Source organism: Homo sapiens, chromosome 11 (assembly GCF_000001405.40).
Source record: "Homo sapiens chromosome 11, GRCh38.p14 Primary Assembly".
Lineage (NCBI taxonomy): Eukaryota > Metazoa > Chordata > Mammalia > Primates > Hominidae > Homo > Homo sapiens.
The window spans coordinates 64150609-64175101 of record NC_000011.10 but is presented as its reverse complement, the minus strand read 5'-3'; the positions used below and the strand labels follow the sequence as shown (position 1 = coordinate 64175101).

The following is a 24493-nucleotide window of genomic DNA, read 5'->3' as shown; positions in this document are numbered from 1 at the left end:
TTTTGTGCACTTCAATCCAAATGTCCCTGAAGCATCTACCTCCCTCCTGGGCCTTCTCTGAAGTCAGAGTAGGGGCAGCTGAAGCCCTCCCTCTGCTGGCTCCAGGAACGAAACCCCCTGGCCCACTAAGGCCCTTCCCCTGGGGAGGGTGGCGTGGGATAAGAACACTCAGTATCTGTCTGGCCCTCTCAAGATCACTGAGGACTTTCCCAGACAGCCGACATGGTCTTCAGATCAGTCTGCCAAACGTCACATAGAGGCTGGGCACGGTGGCTCACGTCTGTAATCCCAGCACTTTGGGAGGGCAACGTGGGTGGATCACCTGAAGTCAGGAGTTCGAGACCAGGCTGGCCGACATTGCAAAACCTCGTCTCTACAAAAATATAAAAGTTAGCTGGGCGTGGTGGCACGCGCCTGTAGTCCCAGCTACTCGGGAGGCTGAGGCAGGAGAATCACTTGAACCTGGGAGGCGGAGGTTGCAGTGGACCAGGATCGTACCACTGCACTCCAGCCTGGCCAACAGAGTAAGACTCCATCTCAAAAAAAAAAAAAAAATCAGGTGGAGGGGCATCCTCTGTTTTCCAGGCTCCTGGTTTATAGCTGCAAGCTCTGGACATTTAATACCTTGTAATCCATCCTTCCCTTATATACCTCTCAACATAATGACTGTACAATATGGCCAATGAAACGGATAGTAAAATGAAACATAGGCAAGTAATAAAGTGAGATATGAAGACAGTAGTACAACCTGGATGAGGGTGGAATGCAAAATTGTCATCAGAGAAGACGACAGGAGGACCTGAGAGCTGGAGGGACGGACGCTTATCTACCCAAATGAGGCTATAAAAAGTAGAAAGATGGCAGGGTAAAAATGGGGGAGGGCTGCCACTTAAGACTCTCAGGAAACAGTGATGCATCAGACTTTATCATTAAGTCCCAGGGGAGAGGAGTGGATCTGGGGATCCCTTTAGATATGGTAGAATTCTCCTGGGTCCTGCTCTGGTCTTAAATCTCAGACCAGTAGCAGGAAAACCCTAACTGTACTGTGGTCCTGAATGTCACTGCAACTTCAGCCCTGCTGTGGTGGTGTATCTGCTCCTCTGGCTGGCTCTGCCACCTTGAAAGGTGAGACCATGTGGAGCAGAGCCAAGGGGCCTCAGCTGACAGCCAGCACCAACCATCAGTCATGTGAGTGAGACCACCTTGGACCCCCAACCCCAGTTGGGTTGTCAGATGACTATAGCTGCAGGTACAAGAGTGACCCAGTGACACCAGCAGATGAACCGGCTAGCTTAGCTCAGCCCAAACTGCTGACTTAGAACTGTTGTTATGTTAAGCCAGTACATTTTCAGTGACTCATTACAAAGCAGTAGATAACTGTGACAGTCTAAGAGGATCTAAGTTTGGAAACAGGATTGAATATTTAAGATAACTGATTTGCCAGATTTATAAGTTTATTAGTATATAAGAGTTGCTTGGCTGGGCACAGTGGCTCATGCCTGTAACCCTAACACCTTGGAAGGCTGAAGCAGGAAGATTGCTTGAGCCCAGGAGTTTGAGACCAGCCTTGGCAACACAGTGAGACCCAATCTCTTAAAAAAAAAAAAAAAAAAAAAAACTCCGTCTCCCTCTCGCTCTCCGTCTCCCTCTCGCTCTCCCTCTCCCCACGGTCTCCCTCTCATGCGGAGCCGAAGCTGGACTGTACTGCTGCCATCTCGGCTCACTGCATCCTCCCTGCCTGATTCTCCTGCCTCAGTCTGCCGAGTGCCTGCGATTGCAGGCACGCGCCGCCACGCCTGACTGGTTTTGGTGGAGACAGGGTTTCGCTGTGTTGGCCGGGCCGGTCTCCAGCCCCTAACCGCGAGTGATCCGCCAACCTCGGCCTCCCGAGGTGCCGGGATTGCAGACGGAGTCTCGTTCACTCAGTGCTCAATGGTGCCCAGGCTGGAGTGCAGTGGCGTGATCTCGGCTCACTACAACCTACACCTCCCAGCCGCCTGCCTTGGCCTCCCAAAATGCCGAGATTGCAGCCTCTGCCCGGCCGCCACCCCGTCTGGGAAGTGAGGAGCGTCTCTGCCTGGCCGCCCATCGTCTGGGATGTGAGGAGCCCCTCTGCCTGGCTGCCCAGTCTGGAAAGTGAGGAGCGTCTCCGCCCGGCCGCCATCCCATCTAGGAAGTGAGGAGCACCTCTTCCCAGCCGCCATCACATCTAGGAAGTGAGGAGCGTCTCTGCCCGGCCGCCCATCGTCTGAGATGTGGGGAGCGCCTCTGCCCCGCCACCCCATCTGGGATGTGAGGAGCGCCTCTGCCCGGCCGAGACCCCGTCTGGGAGGTGAGGAGCGTCTCTGCCCGGCCGCCCCGTCTGAGAAGTGAGGAGACCCTCTGCCTGGCAACCACCCCGTCTGAGAAGTGAGGAGCCCCTCCGCCCGGCAGCTGCCCCGTCTGAGAAGTGAGGAGCCTCTCCGCCCGGCAGCCACCCCATCTGGGAAGTGAGGAGCATCTCCGCCCAGCAGCCACCCCGTCCGGGAGGGAGGTGGGGGGGGTCAGCCCCCCACCCGGCCAGCCGCCCCATCCGGGAGGGAGGTGGGGGGTCAGCCCCCCCGCCCGGCCAGCCGTGCCATCCGGGAGGTGAGGGGCGCCTCTGCCCGGCCGCCCCTACTGGGAAGTGAGGAGCCCCTCAGCCCGGCCAGCCACCCCGTCCGGGAGGGAGGTGGGGGGGTCAGCCCCCCGCCCGGCCAGCCGCCCCGTCCGGGAGGTGAGGGGCGCCTCTGCCCGGCCGCCCCTACTGGGAAGTGAGGAGCCCCTCAGCCCGGCCAGCCACCCCGTCCGGGAGGGAGATGGGGGGGTCAGCCCCCCCACCCGGCCAGCCGCCCCGTCCGGGAGGGAGGTGGGGGGGTCAGCCCCCCGCCTGGCCAGCCGCCCCGTCCGGGAGGGAGGTGGGGGGGTCAGCCCCCCGCCCGGCCAGCCGCCCCGTCTGGGAGGTGAGGGGCGCCTCTGCCCGGCCGCCCCTACTGGGAAGTGAGGAGCCCCTCTGCCCGGCCAGCCGCCCCGTCCGGGAGGGAGGTGGGGGGGTCAGCCCCCCGCCCGGCCAGCCGCCCTGTCCGGGAGGGAGGTGGGGGGGTCAGCCCTCCGCCCGGCCAGCCGCCCCGTCTGGGAGGTGAGGGGCGCCTCTGCCCGGCCGCCCCTACTGGGAAGTGAGGAGCCCCTCTGCCCGGCCAGCCGCCCCGTCCGGGAGGGAGGTGGGGGGGTCGGCCCCCCGCCCGACCAGCCGCCCCATCCGGGAGGGAGGTGGGGGGGTCAGCCCCCCGCCCGGCCAGCCGCCCTGTCCGGGAGGGAGGTGGGGGTGTCAGCCCCACGCCAGGCCAGCCGCCTCGTCCGGGAGGGAGGTGGGGGGGTCAGCCCCCCGCCCGGCCAGCCGCCCCGTCCGGGAGGGAGGTGGGGGGGGTCAGCCCCCCTGCCCGGCCAGTGGCCCCGTCCGGGAGGTGAGGGGCGCCTCTGCCCGGCCGCCCCTACTGGGAAGTGAGGAGCCCCTCTGCCCGGCCAGCCGCCCCGTCCGGGAGGGAGGTGGGGGGGGGTCAGCCCCCCTGCCCGGCCAGCCGCCCCGTCCAGGAGGTGAGGGGCGCCTCTGCCTGGCCGCCCCTACTGGGAAGTGAGGAGCCCCTCTGCCCGGCCAGCCGCCCCGTCCGGGAGGGAGGTGGGGGTGTCAGCCCCCCGCCCGGCCAGCCGCCCCGTCCAGGAGGGAGGTGGGGGGGGTCAGCCCCCCCGCCCGGCCAGCCGCCCCGTCCGGGAGGTGAGGGGCGCCTCTGCCCAGCCACCACCCCGTCTGGGAGGTGTGCCCAACAGCTCATTGAGAACGGGCCAGGATGACAATGGCGGCCTTGTGGAATAGAAAGGCGGGAAAGGCGGGGAAAAGATTGAGAAATCGGATGGTTGCCGTGTCTGTGTAGAAAGAAGTAGACATGGGAGACTTTTCATTTTGTTCTGCACTAAGAAAAATTCCTCTGTCTTGGGATCCTGTTGATCTGTGACCTTACCCCCAACCCTGTGCTCTCTGAAACATGTGCTGTGTCCACTCAGGGTTAAATGGATTAAGGGCGGTGCAAGATGTGCTTTGTTAAACAGATGCTTGAAGGCAGCATGCTCGTTAAGAGTCATCACCAATCCCTAATCTCAAGTAATCAGGGACACAAACACTGCGGAAGGCCGCAGGGTCCTCTGCCTAGGAAAACCAGAGACCTTTGTTCACTTGTTTATCTGCTGACCTTCCCTCCACTATTGTCCCATGACCCTGCCAAATCCCCCTCTGTGAGAAACACCCAAGAATTATCAATAAAAAAATAAATTAAAAAAAAAAAATAAATAAAGTGAAGGTTGATGTTTCAATAAATCCTTTAACGGGAAAAAAAAAAAAAAAAAAAAAAATTAGCTGGGTGCGGTGGCACACACCTGTAGTCCCAGCTGCTCAGGAGGCTGAGGCTGGAGGATCGATTGAGCCCAGGAGGTCAAAGCTAGTGAGTCATGATTGCTCCAGACCCTGTAGACGCTGTCCCTGAAAAAAGGAAAAAGAAAAAGAGTTGCTTAAGTGATAAGAAAAAAAAAAAAATCCTTGTAAGTCTCTTCTGCTTGGAATTTGAGGTGTTTGAGAGGATCAGCTACTTTAAGTCTGTAAAATATAGTTTAAAATCTATTAGAGGATTTAATTACCTAAGTTTGTAACTGGCATTAATTTTTAGAATAATTTAATCTGTTGAACTTATGAGTTAATTAAATATTAAAGAATAAGTGAACATAATTGTTCTTACTTTTATAAAAAAATTAGTAGGCTTATACATAGAAAACTAGATTTACAAATTGCACTTGGATGTTTAAGAAAAACTAGTTTTTAAAATTTATGTTTAATAAATACAGTATTAATTTAAACACAAGCAGCAGTAGGTAGCTTTTCTCTGCACAAAACCCCCTCTCCAACATTAAAAATCCTCAACTGACAACACCCTATGCCACAGCCCCAGCCGAAGATTCAGCATTCCACAGACTTCCACGCCTTTGCTTCTGTGGGCCTCTCTGCGTGGAACGCCCCCAACACATACACACCTTCCATACCTGGCAAAATTTTACTTTTTCCAAAAGGTCCAGCTCAAATTCTATGAAGATATCCTTCCTCACTGAAGTTTAGAATGCTGCTGCCTGCCCAGGAGCACTTACGCATGTGACCCAGGCCTCCAGTAGACCACGGAGAGCTGTTAGCAGGGACCTTCACTATCTTTGTGATAGCAGAGCTGAATCCCAGCAAAAAGAAACAGTAGCGCTGGTACACAGTAGGCATCCAGGGTGCTTCAGCAGCCTGGCCGTGTAGGACGTGGGTTTTGGAGATTTCTGAGCAGGTGAATAACACGATATAAATGGTTTTTTTAAATACATATTTGTTGGCTGGGCACAGTGGCTCATGTCTGTAATCCCAGCATTTTGGGAGGCCGAGGTGGGTGAATCATCTGAGGTCAGGAGTTCGAGACCAGCCTGACCAACATAGTGAAACCTCGTCTCTACTAAAAGTACAAAAATTAGCGGGGCATGGTGGCGCATGCCTGTAACTCCAGATACTTGGGAGGCTGCCCCTTGAACCTGGGGGACAGAGGCTGCAGTGAGCCGAGATCATGCCACTGCACTCCAGCCTGGGCGACAGAGCCAGACTCCGTCTCTAAATAAATAAATAAATAAATGCATGTTACTTATTTATTTATTTTTAGAGACAAGGTCTCACTGTGTTGCCCAGGCTGACCTCCAGCTCCTGGACTCAAGTGATCTCCTTGTTTCAGTTTCCCAAGTACTTGGGACTGCAGGTGTGACCCACTACACCTGCGTTATTTATTTATTTATTTTGAGAGGGAGTCTCACTCTGCCACTCAGGCTGGAGTGCAGTGGCACGATCTCAGCTCACTGCAACCTCTGCTTCCCAGGTTCAAACAATTCTCCTGCCTCAGCCTCCTGAGTAGCTGGGACTACAGACGTGTGCCACCATGCCCAACTAATTTTTTTTTTTTTTTGTATTTTTAGTAGAGATGGGGTTTCGCTATGTTGGCCAGGCTGCTCTCGAACTCCTGACCTCAGGTGTTCTACCCGCCTTGGCCTTCTAAAGTGCTGGGATTACACGCGTGAGCCACTGCACCCGGCCTGAACGCCAAGACTTTCTTATGGCTGGGGACCCTGCCTCTACCTCATCATCCTCACTAGACATTGCCAGGAAGGTTGCACAGGGCAGAATAATGGCCCTCCAAAGACTCCACATCCTAAATCCTAGAGCCTGTAAATATGTTACATTACACGGCAAAGGGGAATGAAGGCTGCAAATCAGCTAAGTAGAGAAATTGTCACAGATTATCTAGGTGGGCTCCATGTAATCACAAGTGTCCCTGAAGATGGAAGAGAGAGGCAGAAGGAGAGTATCAGAGGGAAATGCCACTACAGGAGAATGCTCAGATGCAACCGCGCTGGCTTTGAACATGGAGGAACAGGTCTCAAGCCAAGGAATGTGAGTGGTCTCTGGGAATCAGAAAAGGCAATGATACAGGCTGTCTGCTAGGGCTTCCAGAAAGGAACATGGCCTCGTGTTCCCCTTGATTTTAACCCAGTGATGCCCACATCAGACTTCTGTCCTACAGAACTTTAAGATACTAAATGTGTCGTTGAAGCCAGTGAATTTGCGGTAATGGTACAGCAGCAATGGAGAAGTAATATACTGCATCACCCACATGCCTCATTTCACCAATCAGTGACACCTGCATAACCATTTTCCAGACTGCAGATGGGAACCAAACAGACCTGGACCCAAGTCGGGGCTGGGATCCTGACCTGACCTTGGGCCAATCATCTCTCTGCCTGGAGGGGGTGAGAGCTGAGGATATAACGGGCTAATGGAGGTAGTGGGAATGGACATAGAGGGCTTAGCTCAGTACAGCTGGGACTTCGTGCATGTAGGTGTTGGCTGTCCTGGTTGCAGTCAGCAAGGTCCTTCCTTTACTCTGAGTTACTGGAGGGGCCACAACTGGTGAGGTGACCTGGAGCCTGACCCCTACATCCTGAACCGTGCCTTGCTGATGTTTTCAGGAGAGGGTGCAGGCCTTGCTGGTGGTCCTGGAATGCTGGGGGCCGTGGGCTCTTCCTTCCTGGCCTCTGGCTCCCCTTTGCCCTCACTCCCAGTACTGATGACTGCCTACCCTGCTGCTGGCAAGTCTATGCTGATCCTCTCTTGGGCAGATTTAATGTCTGGAGTCCAAGGGTGAGCCCGTGTCACCATCCCAGTGGTTCCATCTGCATCCATGGCAGGTCAGGGATCCTCGTACGGCCATCCATGGTTATTGCCACACTCAGAGTCAGAGGCCTGGAGCACAGGAGCAGGTTTGCAACCAGCCAGACTCTCTTATTCCTAGCTGACAGCTCAAGAAGTTTGAGTCTTAAGGGGCTAGGGTACCCTAGGGCAGCAACACTAGTACTAGAACCTTCTCTGAAACCCTGGCTCGTTCCTCCCTCGTATTAAAATATATTCATTATTATTATTACTTTTGAGATAGGGTCTCACTGTGTCGTCCAGGCTGTAGTGCAGTGGTGCCATCATGGCTCTCTGTAGCCTTGAACCCTTGGGCTCAAGTGTTTGCCTGCCTCAGCCTCTGGAGTAGCTGGGACTAGAGGTGAGTGTCTACCACCATACCAGGGTAATTTTTTTGTGTGGGGGCGGGTAGAGATGAGGGGGTCTCACTATATTGCCCAGGCTGGTCTTGAACTCCTGGCCTCTAATAATCCTCTTGCCTCAGCCTCCCAAAGTGCTGGGATTACAGGTGTGAGCACTTATTCATTATTCATTATTACATTCATTATATTATTATAATGGCCCGGCCTGTATTCATTATATTTATCATAAAGTAATATTAATAGTACATAAAAATATATAAAAGTACTTAAAAATCCATCCTCGTGTTTTTTGTTTTGTTTTCTTTGAGACAGAGTCTCGTTCTGTCACCCAGGCTGGAGTGCAATGGCACGATCTCGGCTCACCGCAACCTCCGCCTTCCGGGTTCAAGTGATTCTCCTGCCTCAGCCTCCCGAGTAGCTGTAATTAACAGGCATGCACCACCACGCCTGCATAATTTTTGTATTTTTAGTAGAGACGGGGTTTCGCCATGTTGGCCAGGCAGGCCTCGAACTCCTGACCTCGTGATCCACCCAACTCGGCCTACCAAAGTGCTGGGATTACAGGCGTGAGCCACCGCGCCCGGCCGGTTTTTGTTTAAAAAAGAAAAGAAAAAAAAAAAAAAACACACAGACACACACAAAAACATCACCCCAATCCTTCCACCCTTGAACGCCACTTGAAGCCTAAGTTTCCTGCCTCCAAATTCCACTATTTCCACCCTCGACTCTCCTCCCCAGCTGTCCTAGATTCTGCTCCAGCTGAGCCTTGGCCCCGGGGCTGTTAGAAGGCAGAGGCTCTGGGGAGAAGTCCCCAAACCGGATTTACCCGTTCGTCGCACCTGTCCCTAGGAGGGCAGGCTGGGGTGTGGAGGCGGTGCCCTGCTGACCCGCGGGGAGAGAAGCCCGGGTCTCCCAGGCTGCAAAACGCTCGGCACTGCGGAAGCCGCGCCAGGCTCTCCCAGCTCGATACGCAGCGGCCGGCGCGCCTGCTCCGCCGCGGGGCCGAGCGGCAGAGGGGCCCGGGGCTGCGTGGAAGGCCCGGGGGCTTCAGCCCGTGCCGGGGAAGCCGACGCTCAGCCAACCAGAAAGTTAGAGGCGGCCGAGGTCTCGCGGAGGGGAGGCGCCTGGCGGCCACGGGAGAAGTCGAAGGGCTCAGGCGGGGCTCCATCCGCGACACTGGGAGCCCGGGCGGGCGCGCACGTGTGTATACGAGTGCGTGGGCCCATCCGGCGGCCCGGACTACAAGTTCCAGGGTGCCCAGCGGCGCTCCCGGGTTTTCTGGCCGCGCCTCCCGCTGGCTCCGAGCAGGTCGCCGCTGGCTGGCAGTCGCCACCCGGTCCCAGAGTAAATAAGGGAGAGACACTCCCGAGCGCCGTAAATAGAGTCCAAGTGGGCGGAGAGCCGTCCCGCGCCGCCCGCTCATGTCTCTACAGAGCCGACTGTCCGGCCGCCTGGCACAGCTGCGCGCGGCGGGGCAGCTGCTCGTCCCCCCGCGCCCCCGGCCCGGACACTTGGCGGGTGCCACGAGGACCCGCAGCAGCACGTGCGGTCCCCCGGCGTTCCTGGGCGTGTTCGGCCGCCGTGCGCGGACCTCGGCGGGAGTTGGGGCGTGGGGGGCGGCGGCGGTGGGGCGGACAGCCGGGGTGCGCACTTGGGCCCCCCTGGCCATGGCGGCGAAGGTGGACCTGAGCACCTCCACCGACTGGAAGGAGGCGAAATGTAAGTGTAAGCACGAGGGGGCGCGAGGGAGAGGGCGGCCTCACGTGGAGCTTCCCGGCTGGGCGGCCCCCAACGAGCGAGCAGCCCCTTCCACCCGAGAGACCTGGGGAAGTTGAGGCCCCATCTGCCCTGGAACGGACCCCTCCTCCCCATTGACAGCCCCCCCCGCCCCCGCGCGTGTTCCCAGCCCCACAGAACAATTCACTCCAGACCAGGTCCAAGTGTCCACGCAGGGGGCAGCGTGAGGAAGGCGGCCTTCCTTACCCCATTGGAATGGGTCACAGGGCACCCCAGAGATTGTGCAGGACCTACCAACTTCCTTCCCTGTGCAGGAGGGAAACTGAGGCCGAGTGCCACAGCTGGCTTCCCCAAGGTCACTCGGAGCTGGTGGCAAAGTGGAGGTTATGATCCCGGACTCTCCAAACTTTGCACAGTGTGGTTCTTAAGTGTTCGGGAATGGGGCTGAGGGAACAGCTCCGGGGCTGGCGTCCCACCTGGTGGGGCACGTAACCTCACAGAGTGACCTTCCTGGGCTGGCCTGTCCTGCCTCCACCCCACCCCAAGCCCGCACTCTGATGCCTTCCTGGGCACGTGGTCTGGCGCCCTTTTCCCCTTCTCGCTGGCCTCTGGCCACTTGTGAGCAGTTTGCTCATGCCAGGAACAGAGGTTAGAGGAGCAGGGCAGAGGTGGGGTCTTGTCCCTGTGACAACTGATGACACCCTTCAAGAATCACACCACTTCCTCTTGCTCCTGGAGGGGGCATGAGTCTGGGGCCTGGGGAGAGAGAGAACCCAAGCTGCCGCTACTGAGCCCCAAATAGCCCTGCCGGGCACCCAGCTGCCCCTGCCTTTCAGGGCCTGCCTCCTGGGATCCTGTGACTCTTCCCGGCTGGATCCCCTTTCAAAAGTGCAGGGAAGTGGCTAATTGGCTGGGCCTCCGTGGTGGAGTAGGTGTGGCCTCTGGGCTGGGCAGGCAGGATGGGGGGGTCCTGCGGTGTTAGGGGTGAAGAGAAGATGGCTTTCTCGGGACCAGAGGTGGAAATCAAAATGATTTACTCCTGACATGAATTGTGTGGCCTGCGCCAGGATCTAAAAGTGACGGCAGAAAGCACCGACTTTAGCCCGTGAGCAGATGGAGAACTTGTCAGGCACTTGGCCCTTGCCCCAGAACAGCAGGAGGAGTTTGGGGCTGGCAGAGACCCCTGGAGGGGGAGCCACTGTCCCCACAGAGACCCCTGCTCCCCTGAGCACTCTCTCAGAGGACAACAACCCAGGAGGGTGGGAAAGAGCTACGGAGACAAGGTGCCCAGGCACCTGCTCGAGGGCTGCCGCTGTTTTTAGGATCCAGCCCCCACAGCCCCACTCCTTGGTGCCAGGAAAGCAACCGGACCTTGTGATGGGGCTGGGGTTCCTGGGCTGCTGTGTTGTCACTGGGGTCTCCCTTTTGCTTCGAGGTGGGATTTCCAATCATGCAGCAAACTTTTATTGAACGCCCCCTAGGTGGTCAGGCTGGGGACTCAGACATGTGTCAGATAGGCAAGGGCCCTGCCCTCATGGAGCTTGTAATCTGGTGTGAGGATTACAAAGCATCTATTGTAAAGAATGTGTTCTAGCAGCTGAGACAAGGCCCGGTAACCTCAGTGCTGTGAAGACACCATAGCAGATGGGGCCACCTGAGCTGGGGAGATCAGAGGAGGCGTCTCAGGGGTGGTGGCCTGAGAAGAGGCATCCAGCTGGGTAATGATATTCCAGACCCGTTATTGAGTGACAGTGGGCCAGGCCCAAGGAGTGGGGCTGGTCTGGGGCTCTGCCTGCTACTGAAGCCACAGTTAGAGGGACGCTTTCGGGGGTGAGATGTGGAGATCCCCCAATAGTTATCTATTTCTGTGTAACAAAACACCCCGAACCTTAGTGGCGTAAAACAGCAAACCTGCATTCTCTCCATCTCTTGAGGGTCAGGAAACTGAGAGAAGCTTAGCTGGGTGGTTCTAGCTCAGGGTCTCCCTCCCTCTGAGGCCGGGTGGGACTTGGTTAGGGCTGGAGGATGGGCTTCCTAAACAGCTCCCTCCCATAAAATGGCATTTGGTGAGAGGCCTCGGTTGGTCACTTTGGGGCCTCTCCATGGGGCTGCTTGAGTGCCTCACATGGGATAGATGTCCTAAGCTTTTCCCCCAGAGCATATGCTCCACGAGAGGGATCGTGAGGAGACCCCGATGGAGCTGCAGTGCCTTCTTTGTGACCTCGTCTTCGAAGTCTCTCCTGCTTTATTCTAGGGGTCAGAATCGAGTCAGGGAGTCTGGCCATACTCCAGGAGAGGGAAATTAGGCTCTACCTCTTGAAAGAAAGAATCTCAAAGAATTTGAAGGTGTGTTTTTATTTTCTTAAAAAAATTTTTTTTTGAGACAGTTTCACTCTTTTTGTCCAGGCTGGAGTGCAGTGGTGTGATGTCACTGCAACCTCTGCTTCCCGGGTTCAAGTGATTCTCCTGCCTCAGCCTCCTGAGTAGCTGGGATTACAGGCACCCACCACTATACCCGGCTAATTTTTGTTTGTTTGTTTGTTTGTTTGTTTGTTTTTTAGATGAAGACTTATTCTGTTGCCCAGGCTGGAGTGCAGTGGTGTGATCTCAGCTCACTGCAACCTCCGCCTCCGGGGTTCAAGTGATTTTCCTGCCTCAGCCTCCCCAGTAGCTGGGATTACAGACGCGTGCCATCACGCCCGGCTAATTTTTTTGTGTTTTTGGTGGAGATAGGATTTCATCGTGTTAGTCAGGATGGTCTTGATCTCCGGACCTCGTGATCTGCCCGTCTCGGCCTCCCGGAGTGCTGGGGTTACAGGCGTGAGTCACTGGGCCTGGCCAATTTTCTTAAATTTTTTTTTTTTGAGATGGAGTCTTGCTCTGTCACCCAGGCTGGAGTGCAGTGGCGCGACCTTGGTTCATTGCAAGCTCCTCCTCCTGGGTTCATGCCATTCTCCTGCCTCAGCCTCCCGAATAGCTGGGATTACAGGTGCCCGTCACCATGCCCAGATAATTTTTTGTATTCTTTAGTAGAGACAGGGTTTCACTGTGTTAGCCAGGATGGTCTCAATCTCCTGACCTCGTGATCTGCCCGCCTCAGCCTCCCAAAGTGCTGGGATTACAGTCGTGAGCCACTGTGGCCGGCCAAAATTTTTAAAATTAATTTAAATTTTTTTCGAGACAGGGTCTCGCTCAGTTGCTCAGGCTGAAGTGCAGTGGTGTAATCATAGCTAGCTGCACCCTTAAACTGCTGGGCTCAGCGATCCTCCTGCCTCAGCCACCTGAGTAGTTGGAAGTACAGGCGCGCATCACCATGTGCAACTAATTTTTTTTTTTCTTTTGAGACAAGGTCTGTTGCCCACGCTGGAGTGCAGTTGTGAGATCTCAGCTCACTGCTTCCTCAACCTCCTGGGCTCAAGCGATCCTCCCACCTCAGTCTCCCAAGTAGCTGGAACTACAGGCATACGCCACCACGCCTAGCTAATTTTTTGTATTTTTTTGTAGAGACAGAATTTTGACATGTTGCCCAGGCTGTTCTCAAACTCCTAAGCTCAAGCGATCTACCCACCTCGGCCTCCCAAAGTGCTGAGGTTACAGGTGTGAGCCATGGGCTGCTAATGTTTTAAAACCTTTATTGTAGAGACTGGGTTTCACCATGTTGCCCAGGCTGGTCTCAAACTCCTAAGCTCAAGCGATCTACCCACCTCGGCCTCCCAAAGTGCTGAGGTTACAGGTGTGAGCCATGGGCTGCTAATGTTTTAAAACCTTTATTGTAGAGACTGGGTTTCACCATGTTGCCCAGGCTGGTCTCAAACTCCTAAGCTCAAGCGATCTACCCACCTCGGCCTCCCAAAGTGCTGAGGTTACAGGTGTGAGCCATGGGCTGCTAATGTTTTAAAACCTTTATTGTAGAGACTGGGTTTCACCATGTTACCCAGGCTGGTCTCAAACTCCTGGCCTCAAGCAATCCGCCCACCGCAGCCTCCCAAAATGCTGGCATGACAGGTGTGAGCCACTGTGCCTGGCCAAGTGTATTTTTTAAGCCATCACATTATGGGAGATCTGGGGGGCTGCCCCAGCTGGACTCTGCCTTTGATTAGGGTCTGAGCCGTGGCCCTTGAAGACTGCTACACTTTTCATCGTTACATTCAAATCACACTTTCAGCCAAGTTACATTTGACAGTCAAGTGCTGCAAGTGTAGAGATCTTCAGTGCACAGTGTATGCAACTGTGCAGTCACTACTTGGGTCAAAAGGTAGAGCATTGCCATCACGCCAGAAGTCGCCTCTTTTCACTTGGTACTGTCTGGAGCTAATCACTCTTGTGATATCTGTTCATTTTGTCTCTTCTTGAAGTCTGGCCCCTTTTACTCAATATCCGGCCAGTTCGTCCTTGTTATTGGATGTGGCAATGGTTCCCTCTTTTTCATTGCTGTATAGTGTTCCAGCATATGAACGTACCACAGCTTGTTTCCCACTCTTTTGTTGTTTTGTTTGGTTTTGTTTTTTGAGATGGAGTCTTGCTCTGTCGCCCAGGCTGGAGTGTAGTGGCACGATCCTGGCTAACTGCAACCTCCGTTTCTTGGGTTCAAGCGATTCTCCTGCCTCAGCCTCCAGAGTTGCTGGGATTACAGGCACCCGCCACCACGCCTGGCTAATTTTTGTATTTTAGTAGAGACGGAGTTTCACCATGTTGGCCAGGCTGGTCTCAAAATACTGACCTCAGGTGGTCTACCTGTCTCGGCCTCCCAAAGTGCTGGGATTACAAGTGTGAGCCACCATCCCGGCCCCCACTCTTTTGTTGATAGGCATTTGGGTTTCTTGTGAATAAAACTGTGCTGAACATTTTTTTTTTTTTTTTTTTTAGATATGGTCTCATTCTGTTGCCCAGGCTGGAGTGCAGTGGTGCAATCACAGCTCACTGCAGCCTCCAACTTCTGGGCTCAAACCATCCTCCCACCTCAGCCTCCTGAGTAGCTGGGACTATAGGCATGTGCCACCATGCCTGGCTAATGTTTTTAAAAATGTCTTGCAGAGACAGGGTCTCATTATGTTGCCCCAGGCTGGTCTCGAACTCCTGGGCTCAAGTGATCCTCCCACCTCCGCCTGCAAAAGTGCTAGCGCTGAGATTACAGATGTGTGCCACTGTGCCTGGCTTCCTGAACATTCTCTCCATGTCTCTGATGGACATGTGCTCTCATTTCAGGGCTGTACCTAGATAGGCCTCCAAATACTTGTCTGCCTGAGAGGATCCTCTCTCAAAGCCTGGCACACAGTAACCAAACTCACAAGAGACTGACGTATAGGTCAGAAGGCATATGTGCAGTTTGTGGTGGGGAAATATAATGGCAGTGGGTCTGAAAACTCAGGTGTGCCTGAGCAGAGCCTCCTCTCCCTATGGGAAAGCCTCATGGAAGCCAAATTGTAATCTTAGGATTGCTCAGAGCATGCGATCTTATCCAGGGCTGGTTGAGTGATTTTGGAAGCCTTGCCCTGGGCAAGGCAGGTAAGCTTCCCTGTTTGAGAAGGGTCAGCCCACCCACAAGGATCCCCTTCCCCGGGCGTTTGCTCGGTATTTCCATCTATATGCAGTGCTGAGTGCCTGCTCTGGACCCATGGAAGGATGCCCAGCCCATGGCCCAGCTTGTCCTCCAAGCTGACGGCCAAATTCAGCTTCCCCCTGGACACTCCTTTTCTTTACCTCCAGGCTGACGCTCATTTCCATGGGCCCATTCTCCCTCTAGGTATGTACATACCTTCAGGCTGGATCTTCCTGGCTGGGAGACTTTCAGTCTTTTGGGGACACTTCAGCAGTGTCTGATTTTACTAGCCAGGGGTTACTTTCTCTAATTTATTTTTATTTATTTGTTTTTTTAATTTTTTTTGAGACCGAGTTTCGCTCTTGTTGCCCAGGCTGGAGTGCAGTGGCGCAATCTCGGCTCACCACAACCTCTGCCTCCTGGGTTCAGGCAATTATCCTGCCTCAGCCTCCCGCGTAGCTGGGATTACAGGCATGCGCCCCCATGCCCGGCTAATTTTGTATTTTTAGTAGAGACGGGGTTTCTCCATGTTGGTCAGGCTGGTCTCAAACTCCTGACCTCAGGTGATCCGCCCGCCTTGGCCTCCTGAAGTGCTGGGATTACAGGAGTGAGCCACCGTGCCTGGCCTGTTTGTTTATTTATTTGAGACAGGGTCTCACTTTGTTGCCCAGGCTGGAGTGCAGTGGTGGTATCTTGGCTCACTGCAGCCTCCGCCACCCAGACTCCAGCAATCCTCCCACCTCAGCCTCTTGAGTAGCTGGGATTACAGGTGTGTGCCACTACACCGGCTAATTTTTGTATTTTTTTTTTTTTTTTTTTCTGAGACGGAGACTCGCTCTGTCACCCAGGCTGGAGTGCACTGGTGCAATCTCGGCTCGCTGCAACCTCCGCCTTCTGGGTTCAAGCGATTCTCTTGCCTCAGCCTCCTGAGTAGCTGGGATTACAGGCCTGTGCCACCACACCGGCTAATTTTTGTATTTTTAGTAGAGACAGGGTTTCACCATGTTGTTCAGGCTGGTCTCGAACTCCTGACCTCGTGATCCACCTGCCTCAGCCTCCCAAAGTGCTGGAATTACAGGTGTGAGCCCCTGCACCCGGCCTCATTTTTCTATTTTTTGCAGAGACGGGGTTTTGCAATGTTGGCCAGGCTGGTCTTGAACTCATGAGCTCAAGCAATCCACCCACCTCAGCCTCCCAAAGTGCTGGGATTACAGGCGTGAGTCACTGTGCCCGTCCTACTTTCTCTAATTGAATACCCTCAGTTTTGAGGCACTTCTTTATCCCCCCGGGAGTGCCTTTTCATCAGAAGATCATGGAAACACCCTCACTGTAAAGGCAGTTGGGCATGAGGGACTTAGGTTGGGCCCTTGTCGGTATCTGGCGCTGTATCATCACAGGAGGGGCCTGGCTTTGGGTCCTTGTTCCAACAGCCCCTGGCAGGCAGAGCTGTGAGCCACAAAGAGCAGGGACATTGTTGTCAGATGTGGAGACGTGCTGCTGCTTCCTCGCTCTCCAAGCCTCAGTTTCCTCATCCATAAAATGGGACCAATGGCACCTGCTTGGAGGTTGTGCTGGGATCACATTAGAAACCACTTTGGGCCAGGCGTGGTGGCTCACGCCTGTAATCCCAGCACTTTAGGGGCCAAGGTGGGAGGATTGCTAGAGCCCAGGAGTTCGAGACCAGCCTGGGCAATATATCCAGACCTTGTCTCTCCTAAAAATAAAATTAAAAAAAGAAAAGAAAAGAAATGATTTTATATATCATGGCCCAGAATGGGTCCCAGCAGCCTCCCCTTCCTTGTCACCCCTCAGGCCCTCAGGCCTGTCTCCTCTCTCTGCTCTGTGCTGGCCGTGGTGACACTGGGCTCTTGTAGGCTTGTCTCACGTGCTGGGGCCCTGAGCATGCACAGCCTAAGCCATCCTCTCCTTGGTGACTCAAGGTGGGGCTGCTACGCTCCAGCCTCACACCACACTGTGCAGAAGCCAGGGCTAATTTCAGCCCCCGTGGGATTTCATCCAGAGTGGATGGCTTATCTGATTTGACTGCAGCACTGGCAAATTTTCCAGGTACCCCTGGGAGTCGGGGGGCTTCTCCCACCTGTCTTTTGGGGACGCAGCCTTGCCAATGCCCTGGTGTGGGCAGAGACAAGGGGGCAGGGTAGAGGAGAGGGGCTCCAAGGTGCTGCGTGCTCCGTCTCCCTTTTGCTCGAGCTGTGGGCTTTGACAAGACCCTGTTCTTGCGGGCCGGTGAGCGCAGGTGATTAATGCCCCTGCCACCGAGTCTAAATGCCGCTGCATTCTGGGAGCCCAGCCTTTATCAGCCCTGCCCACCTGGCATTCTCTCTGAGAGGAGCCCTGCCTTGGTGCCCCAGCCTGCCCTCACCTCTCTGAACACCATCTTGCAAAGTGCCATAAAGACACTTCTTAAAACACAGCATTGAATTCCCATTCGCCCGCTGCACTTTATGGTTCTGGTGGAGCCTGCTTCCTCCTGCTTGGCTTTCGTGCCTGGGAGCCGCTGGAAGCTTCGTCTGGGGTCAGGCCTCTCCATCAAAATTTACTGCGGACATCTTTTTACAACACCTATCTCACTGAACTGTGAAATACTCTTGCCTCTTCAAAAATGAAAGAAAATGAAAATGCATGTTTTACATCTTTTATAACAAATAAAACTCACTTGTGCTTTAAGTCTGCATTTGTCCTTCTTACAGGAGGAGGTGGGAAATGTTAGAAATTCATGGGGCAAGGCCGGGCGCGGTGGCTCACGCCTGTAATCCCAGCACTTTCGGAGGCTGAGGCAGGTGGATCATCTGAGGTCAGGAGTTCACGACCAGCTTGGGCAACATCGTGAAACCCCGTCTCTATTAAAAATACAAAAAATTAGCTGGGTGTGGTGGTGCATGCCTGTAATCCCAGCTACTCAGGAGGCTGAGGCATGAGAATTGCTTGAACCCAGGAGGCAGAGGTTGCAGTGAGCCGAGATCGTGCCACTGCACTCCAGCCTGGGTGACAGAGTGAGACTCTGTCTCAAAAAAATAAAAAAAAAACACAGAAATGCGTGGGGCATGTTCCTGGCTTAAGGCCCCTGTTTCTCCTCCAGGGGGAACAAAGAGGGGCCTGGCGGGCGAGGATTGCCGATAAGAGGACATGGAGGTGAGATGCTGAATGGGCGCAGTTGGCCTTTTCTTTCCCCATAAATCAGAAACCAGTGCAGTGTGTAGCTCTTTGGGGATCAGCCAGGCCACAGCCTTGTTCTGGTGGTGAGGACAGACATGCTGTCTGGCCTGCTGGCCTTCTGAGGCATGCACTTGGGTCCATAGACTAGAAGGGACGGGCTGACAGATGTCCTCAAGGTCGGCGCCCAGCCAGCTGGTGGCAGAGCCAGCATGCTGTCTCTGGGAAGTGGAGCAATCCTGTGGGCTTTGCTGGAGAGAAGGGGCTTTGTGGGCTGTGGATCACTCAGACCAGGCTACCATGCTTAGGGAGGGCAGTGTGGGAGCAAGTTCAGGTTCCTCTCGCTTATGTGTGACTGGGGGCAGGTCACTCTGCCTCCTCTCTAGAACAAGGTGGTGGCATCTGCCAGATGATATCTGCTAGGGCACCTGAGGTGTCTCTGGTCACGCTGGTCTAGTTCCATGGGATTCCCAGGGCCTGCCCAGCCAGAGACACTTCAGCAAGGCCTCTGGGGTCCGTCCGGGTCCCAGCCCACCAGTCCCGCCAGCATCACGGTGGGTACCTGACTTTCTGGCCACAGGTCCAGCCGTCTGGGAGTGCCCACACAGTGGCATGCCAAGGCCTCGCAGTGGGGAGGTCACAGTTGTGCAAGGTGACAAATATGGGGATTCAAATTATTTATTTAGAGACAAGGTCTCGCTCTGTTGGGCAGTCTGGAGTGCAGTGGCACAATCACAGCTCACTGAAGCCTTGACCTCCCAGGCTGAAGCGATCCTCCTGCCTCAGCCTCACAGGCAGTTGGGACTACAGGCACATGTCCACCACGCTCAGCTGATTTTTTTTTTTTTTTTTTTTTTGAGATGGAGTTTTGCTCTTGTTGCCCAGGCTGGAGTGCAATGGTGTGATCTCAGCTCACCGCAACCTCCGCCTCCCAGGTTCAAGCGATTCTCCTGCCTCAGCCTCCCGAGTAGCTGGGATTACAGGCATGTACCACCACACCCGGCTAATTTTGTATTTTTAGTAGAGATGGGGTTTCACCATGTTGGCCAGGCTGATCTCAAACTCCTGATGTCAGGTGATCCACCTGTCTCGGCCTCCCAAAATGCTGGGATTACAGGTGTGAGCCACCATGCCCGGCCGCTCAGCTGATTTTTTGTATTTTTTGGTAGAGATGGGGTTGCTCCATATTGTCCAGGCTGGTCTCGAACTCCTGGGCTCAGGTGATTGGCTTGCCTTGGTCTCCCCAAGTGCTGGGGACCCAAATAATTAGAAAAGTTCCTCCGGCTGCTGTGTCCCCAAGTTGGAAAAAAAAGTTCTCCACAATTTTGTCCTGTTTGCTTTGTTCTCTTTGGGCATTATTTAGCCGCCAGGAAGGAGTGAGTGTGTCTGGCGTGTAGACCGCACTTTGCAGCACACAGCCACCTTCTCCTTTGACCCTCCCAGCAAGCCTGGGTGTTAGCAAGGGAAGGCCTGCCTTGTCCCTATTCCAGAGATGGGAAAACCCAAGGCTTCAAACTGAGCATGGTGTTGGGAGGTCACGAACCCAAACCTGGCGGGACCTATAACAGAAGAAAAGGCGCAGCCTGGGTCTAGGCCGGCTGCCACCAGCATCTGTCCGTCCTCAGACAGGGAGGCAGACCTGGAGAGACCGACTGGCCTCACTTTCTCCACCCAAATGCTCTCTCTCTTTTTTTTCTTTTTTAATTAGGGGATCATCTCTGGCTCCCTCTTACCTCTGGGCTTTTGCACATACTGTTCCCTCTGCCTAGAAGACTCTGTACTTAGCAAACTCGCCCTCAACCTTTGGTCTTGGCTCATTTATTCCTCAGCGTGCCCCTCAGGCACCCTCAGGTGCCCACACACCGTGCCAGGTGGTGGGAATCTGATGGCAAACACAGCAGATCCCCTATGGAACCTACAGGTCAAGATGGCCAAGATCAAGAAAGGGGGCCGGCGCCGTGGCTCACGCCTGTAATTCCAGCACTTCGGGAGGCTGACATGGGTGGATTGCTTGAGGTCAGGAGTTCAAGTCCAGCCTGGCCAACATGGTGAAACCCCATCTCTATTAAAATACAAAAATTAGTTGGGTGTGCTGGCACACGCGTGTAATCCCAGCTACTAGGGAGGCTGAGGCAGGAGAATTGCTTGAATCCAGGAGTGCAGGTTGCAGTGAGCCAAGATCGTGCCACTGCACTCCAGCCTGGGCGACAGAGTGAGACTCCGTCTCAAAAAAAAATAAAAGAATAAGTGTAAACAAAAGCAAACTATCCCATATCCTGCAGAGCACAGCAGGTACAAAGGGCCTGGGGCAGGAAGCAGCCTGGCTGTTTGGGGAACTGGTGTAGTGGGGGAGGCAGCATTGGGAGTGAGGTGGGAGAGAGGCCAGAGGACCGGCGTTTGAATGCAGTTTTGAACAGAGGAGGGATGGCACCTGATTTATGTTCCCAGGATCCATGGCTGCCGGTCAAGGAACAGATGGGGATGAGATGCACACGGAGATCAGCTGGGAGTTGGGAGCGTCTGTGGGATCTAGGGAGCCATGAGGAAGGCTCAGTCCTGGAGGGTGAGAGGAAGGCTTGGTTTCTAGGGTGTCACGGGGATCAATCCAAAAGAGGATGGAAAGGGAGGGACCCCTGGTGCAGGGTCTCGAGTAAAAAAGAGGGAAGAATGGAGCAACAAAAAAATGACGTTTTGGGGGAAAGAGTCAAACGTTCTGTTTTGCATGCCTGGGCTTTGGGGAATGAGAGCAGGCAGGCACTGTGGGGGTCAGAGGCTCAGAAGAGAGTGGAGGGACAGCCCCGGAGGTTGCTTGCTTAAAGAGCGTTTTGAATCTGTGCAACTGATTAGAAGACCTAGGGAGGAAAGCAGCAAGGACACTTCCTGTCCACAGGGAAGGCAGGAGGGGCCGCTGCATGGGGTGTGGTGACCTTGACCTTGTTGGAAGGAGGGACCAGACTGGGTGGACTGAAGGGAGCATGGGAGGGAAGAAGTGGAGACAGCAGAGGAGGGGGCAGCTGCAGGGGCGTGGAATGCGGGCGTTGAGGGAGGGGACGGGATTATTTGAGGGCAGGCAGGACAGCCTGGTGGAGGGGGACCTGCAGCAGTGAGTCCTCTGGGAGGTGGGCTTGGCAGGTGGCAGCGCTGGTACTGAATGCAGGACCTACTCGTGCCCAAACATGTTTATGGAAGAGGGGGCAGAAGTGGCTGCCAGGAAAGGTGGCTCTGGCTTGAGCAGCAGTGGGGGCTGACCAGGGGTGGGCCTAGCCTTTTGTGATGACCCCACCTTTGCATCCAGCAGGGACTCTGGACTGGGCCCCTTGCATGAGTTCTGTCATCTAATGCTCTCAGCATCCTTGGGTTGTTATCACCCCTGCCAGCAGTGGTTAGATGAGGAGATGGAGGCCTGGATGATGAAGTGACTCTGGCCGGGAAAACACCCTGCTGTGTGAGGGTGGCCTCCCAACCTCCCTGAACATTTGTGGAGGGACCTACCTGTCCCCCTCACTGCCATGTGCATAGAAGCTTCCAGGCTGCAGTCCTTCCTTTCTCACCACCTCCTCTAATTGCTCTCCCGCCTCTACATATTTTTTGATGCTTTTTGAGTTTCTCAATTGTAGCCTTTGCTGTTTGCCGTGGGGGCTGCCCCATCCCGGGAGCCTGTGGTCCAGGGTGCCAGGCTGGGCTGAGCGCCTGGGTGTGCAGGCGGCCTCGGGCCAGCAGGGGGAGCCCGTGAGCTGCTAGCCTGGCCTGGCGCGGTCGGGGCGGGCCCTTCTGAGACGGGTTCCAGGTTTCTGTGCCTGGTGCCACCCCCAAGGGAAGGCGGAGCCCATGGGACAGTGCTCAGGCAAGGGGAGCCGGCCAGGGTGGACCCCGAGTCTGTGAGCGGGTGGGGGGTGCCTGGCTCCTCACTCAAGTCCCTGCTGTGTGAGGGTGGCCTCCCAACCTCCCTGAGCCCCGGTTTCCTCATCTGTAAAACGAGAACGATTCCAACCCCATTGGTCATGCTGGGAGCCCTCAGCCGCTGCCGGGGGGGATGTTGGGGACAGGTGCCAGGTCCACTTGGTCCTGCAGCTCCTGGAGGAGGACAGCTGTCCCGCTGCCTGCATGCAGTGACAGTGAGGGCAGAACTGACTGGCGGTGGGACTGATGGATAATGTCGCTGGCTGAGTGCTGCCAACCGGCTTGGCCTTAGTGTGTGGGAGGAAGCTCGGAGCTGTTCTGCAGGGGACGTCTTCACCCCCGTTCTAATCAGGGAGAAACGGGGGACCCAGAGAGATGTGGACGCTGCTGGAAAGTGGCAGAGCTGAATTCATCACAACCCAGGTCTGCGATGCCTGAGCCAGTCCCTCAGCCTCCCCAGACCTCAGTTTCCCTCCCTGAACAAAGAGAGCAGGACAAGATATTCTAGGGGCCTCTGAGGTTTCCCCAGCATGCCTGCCCTGTGTGCCCAGAGAAGGAGGGACAGGAAGAGCTGGTTTGCATTCTTGGATGAGGCAAGAAAGGAGATGTGGGGGTGCAAGCCCCAGGCCCGTTCCTCTGCCCCCACCCTGATCCTCCTTCCTGCCTCTGCAGCCTTTCTGAAGGGCCTGAGTGACAAGCAGCGGGAGGAACATTACTTCTGCAAGGACTTTGTCAGGCTGAAGAAGATCCCGACATGGAAGGAGATGGCGAAAGGTAGGCCCTGCTCGGGGGAGGCCCTGGTGGGCAGGCTCCAGACCCGTGGCTTGGGAGAATTGTGCAGACAAGAAGAGCTAGTCCAGTGGCATGTATCGAGTGCTTGCTGCAGGCAGGTGCTCCGCGTGTATCACCTCATTCAATTATTTTATTTTATTTTTTGAGATGGAATTTCACTCTTTTTGCGCAGGCTGGAGTGCAATGGCTCGATCTTGGCTCACTGCAACCTCCACCTCCCGGGTTCAAGCGATTCTCCTGCCTCAGCCTCCTGAGTAGCTGGGATTACAGACATGCACCACCATGCCTGGATAATTTTTGTATTTTTAGTAGAGATGGGGTTTCACCATATTGGCCAGGCTGGTCTCGAACTACTGACCTCAAGTGATCTGCCCGCCACGGCCTCCCAAAGTGCTGGGATTACAGGCGTCAGCAACTGCGCCTGGCCATCTCATTCAATTATTAACACAACAAGTGCAATTTTTATCCCCATTGTATGGTTGGAAACAGAGCCCTAGGTTAGGTGAGCCACCTGCCCGAGATTACTTGCTTGTGGGGAGCTGGGGTTTGAAGCTGCGATTTGGTTGCTTACAGTGGGGTGTGTTGGTGAGACAGCAGGCCTGGTGACCCATAACCCTAGGCAAGTCTCTGACCCACCTAATCCTCAGTTTCTACCTCTGTGAAATGGGATAGATGATATTGGCACTGTACCTGCTGGTGGCCTTGCTGTGAAGATGCAAGGAGTCCCCGCGTGATTTTAGCACGCAGTAGGTGCTCCTCAGTGTGGGTTCCTGGTACTGGGTCAGCAGTCATCGTGCTGCAGGCTGCCCCTGGAGGTGGAGGGAGGTCGATAGGGAAGGCCCTGGCCCCTGGGCCCTGGCTGGGTCCCTCTGCAGTGGGCAGCCTCGCTGTGACCTCCCCGGCCCCTACTTGTTCCAGGGGTGGCTGTGAAGGTGGAGGAGCCCAGGTATAAAAAGGACAAGCAGCTCAATGAGAAAATCTCCCTGCTCCGCAGCGACATCACCAAGCTGGAGGTGGACGCCATCGTCAACGCCGGTGAGTGGCTGGCCTGAACCAGAGACCTGGTGGCCGCCCTGTTGCCTTTGCTCTGCTCTGCTGTGCCAGGCCTGGGTGGACGCCACCTGGCTCCAGTGAGGCTCGGGTTGCTGGCAAGGACAGCCTGCTGGCGCCATGGCAGCCCAACGTGTCGGCCACTCGGGCTCCTCTTCCCTTGAAACCCTGACCTGCTGTGTCGGGGGCGCCTTGCTCCACTGAGACCCATTAGTGGCCGGGGAAGGGGGAGAGCTGGGCTGAAACTGGGCTGCCCTGCCAGGAAGGCAGAGGCCACAGCGGGGAGGTCTGACCTTGGGGGGCCACAGAAGCCCCAACCAGCACCTGCCTTCCTCTGCCTTTGGCCTGGCCTGCCCCCGCTTCAGACCTGGGCGGGTGAGGGAGCTTGTCGAGGGATAGTGGGGGCAGAGAGGTCCCCTGCCATGCCCTGGCAGCTTTCCAGAGCCTAGAAACAGGAGCTGCTCAGCTTCCTGCGCTCGCCTCTTGCTGGCTTGGCAGTTTATTGTGATGAGTATGGGAGCCGGCTGCCTCTTTGTGGGAGGGAGGAAGGGGGCTGCTACTCCACACAGCTAGTGGTTGTCTGGCAAGGTCAAAGGCGCCAGGAAAGGACTTTGG

At 55.3% G+C, this 24493-nt stretch overlaps 1 protein-coding gene and 1 long non-coding RNA gene across 10 annotated transcripts in view, besides 8 other annotated features; one reads left to right on the top strand and one right to left on the bottom strand.

Moving 5' to 3' along the window:
• Positions 1 to 4371: 4371 nt before the first annotated feature.
• Positions 4372 to 8864, bottom strand: LOC105369339 (uncharacterized). 4 transcript variants are annotated; one of them, XR_950187.3, is made up of 3 exons: positions 8513 to 8864; positions 5104 to 5376; positions 4372 to 4549 (listed from the first exon to the last, which is right to left on the bottom strand). It is a non-coding gene; the product is annotated as an uncharacterized LOC105369339 (long non-coding RNA). The 4 variants fall into 4 exon arrangements; XR_007062704.1 differs by having other exon boundaries at positions 8526 to 8864; XR_007062705.1 differs by having other exon boundaries at positions 5206 to 5376; positions 8526 to 8864.
• Positions 4478 to 4678: a silencer, noted in NCBI's record as "peak1294 fragment used in MPRA reporter construct". NCBI's record gives its function as "represses an SCP1 promoter by STARR-seq MPRAs in K562 erythroleukemia cells {active_cell/tissue: K562}" and the evidence as "EXISTENCE:reporter gene assay evidence [ECO:0000049][PMID:32103011]".
• Positions 8603 to 8862: a silencer, noted in NCBI's record as "silent region_3460". NCBI's record gives its function as "represses an Ori minimal core promoter by ATAC-STARR-seq in GM12878 lymphoblastoid cells {active_cell/tissue: GM12878}" and the evidence as "EXISTENCE:reporter gene assay evidence [ECO:0000049][PMID:35858748]".
• Positions 8970 to 9470: an enhancer, noted in NCBI's record as "H3K27ac hESC enhancer chr11:63933104-63933604 (GRCh37/hg19 assembly coordinates)". NCBI's record gives its function as "activates a minimal SCP1, AML or CMV promoter by ChIP-STARR-seq in naive H9 embryonic stem cells {active_cell/tissue: H9 hESC(naive)}" and the evidence as "EXISTENCE:reporter gene assay evidence [ECO:0000049][PMID:30033119]".
• MACROD1 (mono-ADP ribosylhydrolase 1) overlaps positions 8989 to 24493 on the top strand; it is a 167556-nt gene continuing 152051 nt past the window's right edge. For all 6 annotated transcript variants that reach the window (XM_011544970.3, NM_001411019.1, NM_014067.4 and 3 more), the window contains exons 1-3: positions 8989 to 9405; positions 22709 to 22810; positions 23747 to 23863. In XM_011544970.3, coding sequence (XP_011543272.1) covers positions 9108 to 9405; positions 22709 to 22810; positions 23747 to 23863 — 517 coding nt within the window. In that variant the 5' untranslated portion in view covers positions 8989 to 9107. The remainder of the gene's footprint in view (positions 9406 to 22708; positions 22811 to 23746; positions 23864 to 24493) is intronic.
• Positions 9123 to 9202: a silencer, noted in NCBI's record as "silent region_3459". NCBI's record gives its function as "represses an Ori minimal core promoter by ATAC-STARR-seq in GM12878 lymphoblastoid cells {active_cell/tissue: GM12878}" and the evidence as "EXISTENCE:reporter gene assay evidence [ECO:0000049][PMID:35858748]".
• Positions 9333 to 9432: a silencer, noted in NCBI's record as "silent region_3458". NCBI's record gives its function as "represses an Ori minimal core promoter by ATAC-STARR-seq in GM12878 lymphoblastoid cells {active_cell/tissue: GM12878}" and the evidence as "EXISTENCE:reporter gene assay evidence [ECO:0000049][PMID:35858748]".
• Positions 20728 to 21722: an enhancer, noted in NCBI's record as "H3K27ac-H3K4me1 hESC enhancer chr11:63920852-63921846 (GRCh37/hg19 assembly coordinates)". NCBI's record gives its function as "activates a minimal SCP1, AML or CMV promoter by ChIP-STARR-seq in primed H9 embryonic stem cells {active_cell/tissue: H9 hESC(primed)}" and the evidence as "EXISTENCE:reporter gene assay evidence [ECO:0000049][PMID:30033119]".
• Positions 21723 to 22718: an enhancer, noted in NCBI's record as "H3K27ac-H3K4me1 hESC enhancer chr11:63919856-63920851 (GRCh37/hg19 assembly coordinates)". NCBI's record gives its function as "activates a minimal SCP1, AML or CMV promoter by ChIP-STARR-seq in naive H9 embryonic stem cells {active_cell/tissue: H9 hESC(naive)}" and the evidence as "EXISTENCE:reporter gene assay evidence [ECO:0000049][PMID:30033119]".
• Positions 21762 to 21981: a silencer, noted in NCBI's record as "silent region_3457". NCBI's record gives its function as "represses an Ori minimal core promoter by ATAC-STARR-seq in GM12878 lymphoblastoid cells {active_cell/tissue: GM12878}" and the evidence as "EXISTENCE:reporter gene assay evidence [ECO:0000049][PMID:35858748]".